The sequence below is a fragment of the Homo sapiens genome, chromosome 1, assembly GCF_000001405.40.
Source record: "Homo sapiens chromosome 1, GRCh38.p14 Primary Assembly".
Lineage (NCBI taxonomy): Eukaryota > Metazoa > Chordata > Mammalia > Primates > Hominidae > Homo > Homo sapiens.
Window position 1 is genome coordinate 13516265 of NC_000001.11, and position 8303 is coordinate 13524567.

Below are 8303 nucleotides of genomic sequence, written 5' to 3' on the forward strand. Positions count from 1 at the left end.
CGATGGCAGGAACAATTTGTTTCCTCGAGTGTCCCCCAAAGTTCCTTGGATCCAAATGTAAGCATTCTTTTCATTAATATCAGCAGAACTAGACATGGTTGGGCTTTGTAGGGAGCAGGGAGGTATCTCAGATTCCAGAGCTCCCATCCCTTGGGGGAAATACAAGCTTTGCCACCTCTAAATTTTTCCCCCAACAAATAAAACAGAGCCATGACCTCAGCAAGGTCACAATATGAGTCAGTGATAGGCGCTAGAAATAGAACACAGGCATTCTGAGTCCCCACCTGCACCATTCACCAATTCACCCACTCACCCCCTCTCCAGGAAGGGAATCTCTTACCCTTGAGGGCAAACATTGCAGGTAACAAACATTGCAGGTAACAGGGAGGAACGTTGAGAGATTCCACTTGTCAGCTCTGTCTCCGTATGTATTCTCAGAGTCTGCACACTTTGTAATTCCTATTCAAAAGGCTCAAAGCAGGAGCGTGGCAAATACCCAAGGTATCCCTATGATTTAAACACCTGACGTCATGCCTTCCCCATCCCCCACCCCCAGCGGAATCCTCACTCCTCCCTGTGTTCTCCGAACTACAGAGCACGTCATGTCTCACTCTCCATCCCTGTCCAATTTCCCATGAGGTTGGGCCTTGGGAAGCTATGTGCAAGGCGGTCCCCAGGAAACCCACCACGCGATGCCAGGTTGCTGTAAGCAAGAAAAATTCAATAAGAAGAATATCCCCCTTTGTTCACCAGACTGACATCTAAATTAGCCAAAATCCTATGCCTTAAGTCGTAAACAAGATGCTGCCAGTATTTTATGTGCAGAAGTTGAATTTAGGTGCAAATGCTAGGTTTGAATAAGAGTATGGCTGGTGTCTGGTGATGTCATTTGCGTTACTGGCGTATTTCACCTCTGATCAGCACCTGACTGGCCTGGCCAGGGAGCGTGAGGACATCTCATGGGCCCCAGGAAAGGAGACACTCTCTAGCCTTTTACTTGGGGCAGCCTGCCTCGATGGAACAGGCTCCCTGCTCCACAGACACAATTGCGACTTTGTCACCAGCCCGTTAACTGGCTGCAACAGCAGCTCCATGTTCCCGTCCCACGGCCGCTGCCCTTTTTAGCTACCACCGCTAGGGAGCACCACCTGCGGCTCGCACTGCTCAAAACTGAGCGCTTCTCTCAACGCAGTTTACTCTCTGGAGCAAGGCTGGACCCCACGTTTTAGAAGAAAAACTCCCGCCCCTAGTTTTGCCTCTGGAAGCAGGAAATGAATCTTTCACCAGCCTAAATGGGAGCCAGGGTGGTGGTAGCCGTTGGGAATGTGGGTTTGAAGTTAAACAGATCTTGGGCAAGTTGTTTAACTTTTCTAAGCCTCAGTTTTCCCATCTAGGAAATGGGATAATAGTAATGTCTATTTCACGGGGTTGTTACGAGGATGAAATGAGGTGTCTGTTGAGGGCTTAGCAGTGAGACCTACACGTAGTGGAAACACAATACATGGTAACTGCATGATGATCTATTTCTCTCTCTTTCCACATGGAGCAAATAAAGGTTTCGTGTAGACAGATATTCCTCAGATAAAGAGCTGACGTGTTTGTTTCTCTGGAATATACTGACTAGTGATGCCCTAACATTCTAGGGTCAGCTGTAGTAACTCTCCCTGCCCTGAACCACTCCCTTCTCCACGTGTAGCCCATCTGAGACAGACACAGACACACATACCCCTGAGCCCTCTCCAGCTCTGGTTGACTTTGTGATCACAGTTATGGGGGCGCGGCTTCCCTCCCTCTGGCCCGCTAGCTTGGTTGGTCTGAGCGTGGGCAGGCTAATGAGACTGAGGACACAGGGTCAGTCTCTCAGCCTGGTACAAGGAGACATCTGCTCTCTGCTCACAGCCGGGGCTCCTAATGCTGGCCAGCCATCCAGCAAGTGTGCGACCTTGGGTAGGGTTGGAGGAGGGTGGAGAGAGTTTCACCCTGTCTGTCTCAGGAGGAGAAAAACGAGAATCCAAAGCGCCATCCTCCCATAGGTACAAGTTGCAAGCCCTGGGAAACCTGGGAGTCATCCCCAGTTCCTCGTTGTGTGACCCTCTCTGGATCCACTGGCAAGCCCCCCTTGCCTCTACTCTGCATCTCCACCACTACCTCCTGAACCCAAACCAGCATCGTCTTTTACAGCAGCCGCTGGCTGGCCAGCTGGCTCCCACTCTTGCCCATCCCCCACCCACACAATACTTAAGGAAGCCAAAGTGACCCTTTGAAAATACACGTCAGATCAAGTCACCTCCCTGCTTAGACACCTCCAGTGACTTCCTGTGAGTGGCAGGCAGCCTTCTAAGATGACCCCCAATGATCCCCACCTCCAGGTATTCCTTGAGTGGAGGTGGGACCCTGACTTGCTTCTAACAAATAGAATATGGCAGAGGCAATGAAGGTCAATTCTGTGTTCAGGTTCTGTCTTGTGGGTAGACTGTGTCATCTCCCTGAACGATTTGTCTCCTGCACAATTTGATGAGGAAAGCTATTCTGTTGGAGAGACCCTCATGGTGAGGAACAGGGTTGGGGGTGCTCAGATCAATAGCCCCCTGAGGAGCTGAATCCTGCCAACAACCACGGGAGCTTGAAGTGGGGCCTTCCCCAGTTGAACCCAGAGAGACTACAGCCCAGCCAACACCTTGACTGCAACCTGTGACACTCCCTGAAGCAGAAGACCCAGAGAAAGCCTTCCCAGACTCCTGACCTGCAGAAACTGTGAGCTTTGAAATGTGTTTTGTTTAAAACTGCTAAAAGGGGGTAATTTGTTACACAGCAATAGCTAACTGATACACTAAGGAACTTGGAACAAGAGCCCACCAGATCCTGCATGGCCTGGCTCCGTGTTCCTTCCCCCACCCCCCTAATTTGGGACCCCTCTTCTCTTGGTTCACCACACTCTAGTCTTTTCATACATGCAATTCCTCATGTTTGTTTCCACCACCAGAGCTTTGCCCTTTGCTGTGCCCTCCACTGGAAGTACTTCCTTCCCAGCTCCTGGCATGGTTGGTGCCATTTGGTCATTTGGGCTTTCTCAGCCCATATGTCACCTCCCCAAACTGGCATTCACTGACCTCATATCTTTCTCCAGTCAATCTCCCTTGTCTTCCTAAGTTGCTTCCCTTCTTTTCCTGGCTTCAACTTGTTTATTATTACCCCCTGGCATTTCTCAGCTTGCTGGTTTGTTTACTTATTCACGCTACTTTCCACCACTAAAATGGAACCTCTATAAGGGCCAATCTTTTTATTCATTCATTCTTTCTTATTTATTTATTTAGAGATAGGTTCTTACTCTGTCACGCAGGCTGAAGTCCAGTGGGGCAATCATGGCTCACTGCAGTCCCAACCTCCCAGGCTCAAGAGCTCCTCCCACCTCAGCCTCCCAAGTAGCTGGCACTACAGGCACATGCTACCACACCTGGCTAATTTTTTTTTTTTTTTTTTTTTTTTTTTTTTACTTTTTGCAGTGATTGGGGGTCTCACTATGTTGCCCAGGCTGGTCTCAAACTCCTGGGCTCAAGTTATCCTCCTGCCTCAGTCTCCCAAAGTACTGAGATTACAGACGTGAGCCACTGTGCCAAGTCAGGCTCGATACTTTATTCCAGTTCCTAGAATCAGCCCCAGAACACTCAAGAATTGATTAACTAATTGTCACCTGTAAATGATGCCTGTCAACTAGGCTACCAGTTTCTCAGCAGTATCTCACCTGGAGAAACTCATTCATCGTTTCTGGTAGAGCAAGGAACTTCATCCCTCCAAAGACAGCCTTGGCTCTATTTCCCAGGAAGGAATGAGATTTACATGGAGAGCACAAAGCACTCCAACTGTACCCCTGAAGTAGCCTGGGAGTTTGGGGCTCCCCCAAACACATATCTAGTTCCTCTTCATCAAAAGCATGTGGCACCCCATAAATGATGTCATCATGTCCACCTTTGCGCCTTTATTCATACCCTCTTCCTGGCTTGCCTCCCACCATGTTCCCAGTTTGCTTAATGAAATTTGGCCTCCTCCAAGAAGTCCTTCTAGAATTACCCTGAACAATTCCCTGGTCCCCTTTATTCTCCATTCCAGGAGACTAAGTGCTGTGCTAGGTATGGAGCATAAAGAGGGCGCGGGTGTAGCCTCATGCTCAAGGAGCTCAGGGCTCAAGAGACAGCCACAAGAAGAAATAACCACTGTTTCATTAGAGTTGGGACTTATGTGTTGGTCTCTAAAACTCGAATTCATATAGTGTTATTAAGTATACCAAAATAGAAGCTGTACATTTGGGTAGAGTCAGAGCTAAAACCCTTGGCCCTTGAGCCAGTTAGCCCATATTCAGATCCCGGCTCCATCCCTTCTAAGCTGCTGTTCTGCAAGTGAAGTCATCGCCATAAGCTTCGGTTGTTTCATCTGTAAAATGGAGACCCGCCGTATCTACCTCATAGGGTTACTGTGAAGATTCAATGAGATAATATACAAATTAGCATTCGGCACAGCACCTGTGGGATTCTCAATACATAGTAGCATCTGAAGGTGGGAACATTCTCATCCATTTGGACACCTCCAGCAAAAAACTTTTCTTGCCTGCTTAATATTCTAAAGGAAGGCATTGAACTGGGTCCCGGGGAGACCAAGACAGAGTAGACAGCCTCAGTTCTCAGGTGACTCACAACCTCCTTGAAGAGACAGGCCACCCGCAGCAAGGACTTGTCCTGTACAGTAACTGCCAAACAAGTACTGTGGGTTAATAAATGTCGCAGGCATTTGGAGGAGTCAGGGATGTCTGGGCCAGGATGATTGGAGAAAGCCACATCTTGACACAGCGGACCGTATTTTCCAAATCAGCTCTCGGAGCATACGGCCATGTGGCTTCACGCTTCTCTACCCCAGCGCACAGGCTTCCCTGCCAGTCCACTTGGCAGGCCCCTGCTCACTCTCAAAAATGACATGCGTTCCTCCGTAAGCCTTCGGCCTCCCCACGTACAGCCAAATTATTTTCTCCCTGGTATCTTTCCTCCGTTGTGTTACTGTCCCTTGCATGCAGTGTGGTATTTATTGATAACATGTTTCTCTCCTTTCCTGGATTATTACTTGGCTCTAGTGTGAGAAAGAACAGGTCCTCCTGAGCAAAGACCGTGTCTTCTCCGTGTTTATATCCTGGAACCCAGCATAGGACCCCACACAGGGCAGGTGCCCAAGGTATCTTTGCCAAATGAACGAATGAGCGCATGCGTGACAAGCAAATGCTTCTGCCGTGTGGAATGATTGGCAGACCAAGCATTTGAGGTCAGGATTGCTTTGGAAGGCTCTAAAGGTGTGGGTCTCTATGATGCTGCTGCTGTACTATCTGTTTAACCCCGCAAATACTGCAGAAGGCGGCCTCAGGACTTCCCCTCCTTCCTCATGATCTCCTCTCCTGATAATAATGATAGTGACCTGTGCGCTCTCACACCCATATGCAACACTGCAAAGACCCCTTACTCCCATGCTCTCAAGTGAGCCTCACAGCAGCTGTGTCGGGGGCCCACGTCTTTGTGCCCATTTTACAAAAACCTCTGGTGGGTGGCTGATTACTCACCCTTTCACAGCTGAGTAGCCCTAAGGATACTTGACATTTCAAACCCAAAGACAAGTTTCCTGAGCTCCTTTTGCAGCCCTTGTGGAAATCTACAGCGCAGGGTTATCTAATGATGGGAGGTCATTAGTGGCTGTTGATCGCATGGACTGACTGATTAGAGGTAGGGCCTCAGAGCCTGGAGTTTTACATTTTATTTTGGATCAATAAAATAAAAATTTAACAGCTGAAACACTGCTCAGCAAACATATCTGATTGCTGAGCAGTATTTCCGCTGTCATGACTGGCTGCTGAGCAGTATTTCCGCTGTCATGACTGGCTGCTGAGCAGTATTTCCGCTGTCATGACTGGCTGCTGAGCAGTATTTCCGCTGTCATGACTGGCTGCTGAGCAGTATTTCTGCTGTCATGACTGGCTGCTGAGCAGTATTTCCGCTGTCATGACTGGCCTCCTCTGCCCTCCCCCGGCCCATCCTGCAGACGTGAGCACACACTCATGTGCACGCACCTCCCTCCTTCCAGGTAAGTCTTTCTGAAACAGCGGAATACAAAATGGCATAACCCAAAGGTAGAATTGTATAAAGCCACCAGAATTCTTTCTAGTACATGCGGAGGCACACACAAGGCTGTTTTCTATAAATTTGTGTGCAATTTGCATACATTTGCATATGCTCCCAAAGCTATCTCATTGAGTTCTTGAAACAGGTAACAGGTAAAGCCACTCCACCTATGCCAGCCAATGGCAGAAGTAGAGACACATTTGCCATCCAGGCAGCCGTGGCTTCTTCTACCCTGTAAGTTATTCTAAATTAGCATAAAATCATTGTTAAGTATTAATATTACTGAAGACCCCAAAGGCTGGAGAAAACATGACATGGATGCAATCATAATAATAGTGCTGCCCGGCACAGGGGCTCACACCTGTAATCTCAGCACTTTGGGAGGCTGAGGCGGGTGGATCATGAGGTCAGGAGATCAAGACCATCCTCGCTAACACAGTGAAACCCTGTCTCTACTAAAAATACCAAAAAAAAAAAACAATTAGCTGGGCGTGGTGGCATGTGCCTGTGGTCCCAACTACTTGGGAGGCTGAGGCAGGAGAATCTCTCGAACCCAGGAGGCAGAGGTTGCGGTGAGCCAACATCGCGCCACTTCACTCCAGCCGGGGTGACAGAGCAAGACTCCGTCTCAAAATAATAATAATAATAGTGGTAATAATAATCTCTAATACTGAGCACATATATGTCAGGCATTTCTCTATGAGCTGTGAATATATTATCTTAATCTCCTCAATAATCCAAAAGGTAGGTCCAATTATTACCATTTTACTGGTGAGGAAGCTGAGATCCACAAGGTTGAGGCCACATGGCTTGTCAGTGATTCAAACACAGGCATTCTGACTCCATTCATTTATGGGCCAGTATTAGTTTAAGCACCTACTATGAGCCAGATATTATTCTAGGCACTAGGAACACTGCAGTGAAGGAAAAAGACCAAGTCTCAGTTGTCACAAAGCATTAGTATGTGTAAGTTAGGGTAAGGTTGGGTGGGAACAAATAGACTCCAAAATTTATTAAAGAACAAAGAAGTGAATTTCTTTTTTCTTTTCTTTCTTTTTTTTTGAGACAAAGTCTCACTCCGTGGCCCAGGCTGGAATGCAATGACACCATCTCAGCTCACTGCAACCTCCGCCTTCCAGGCTCAAGTGATTCTCTTGCCTCAGTCTCCCGAGTAGCCGGAATTACAGGTGAGCACCACGACGCCTGGCTACTTTTTGTATTTTCTGTAGAGACAGGCTTCCGCCATGTTGGTCAAGCTGGTCTCGAGCTCCTGACCTCAAGTGATCTGCCCGCCTTGGCCTCCTAAAGTGCTGTGATAACAGGCGTGAGCCCCAGCATCCGGCCTGAATTTCTTTCTTGAGTAGTAATTCAAGGCATATGTCCCAGACTGATGGACAATCTTGCCCTAGCCACATGGTCATGTGGAAAACCCTGGTCCCTTGCACATCATTGCTCTTCTAAGCACCTAGGACACTGTCTTCACCTGCTTAGGTGAGGCTGGGCTGCTGCCACATCCTTGTGTAGCCACGGGAAGGTGGAAGGGAATTCGGAGAGGCCACGCCTACCATGCTCAAGCCCGGGCCTGGGAGGGGCAGCATTTGTTTCTGTTTCCTTTCTGTAAGTGAGAACCTAGGCCTGTGGACCCATCCTGCTTCAAAAAGGGTTAAGGAATGGGGTTTAATCAAGAGCCAGGGAAAAAGGGAGAATGGATTTGGTTGGGCAACCAGCAGCCTTTGCCATGAAATGACAGTCACAAGGCAAATACATTTGTTGGATGATGTCACAGAGCAATAAAGGCAACGAAGATAAAGCAGAGGAAGGGCTGGGGAAGGATGGGGTCACATTTTTAGACACAGTCATCAGCTCTTAATCACCATCCTTAACTGACCCCTCATTCCACCCATCCTCACAGTGACAATGACGAAGGCTTAGGAGAGCCTCAAGCACTTCCTGAACCAAATAAGGTCAACTTATGTCCAGCCGAGTAGCCAGGTACCCTGGCCAAGCAAGAGTTTACTAGACTAGACTTGACCTTCGTAGAGTCTCTCATGCCTTTTGTCAAGGAATTTTTATTTATTAGTCATTTTATTTTCATTAAAAAAAACTTTTAGAGTAGCTAAGGAATGTATTGTCATCTCCCTTTGATGAAAG

At 48.1% G+C, this 8303-nt stretch overlaps 1 annotated feature.

Annotated features, from left to right (window-relative positions):
* Positions 5265–6464: an enhancer, noted in NCBI's record as "BRD4-independent group 4 enhancer chr1:13848024-13849223 (GRCh37/hg19 assembly coordinates)". NCBI's record gives its function as "activates an origin of replication core promoter dependent on BRD2, P300/CBP, MED14 and CDK7 cofactors, and independent of BRD4, by STARR-seq in HCT116 cells {active_cell/tissue: HCT116}" and the evidence as "EXISTENCE:reporter gene assay evidence [ECO:0000049][PMID:35650434]".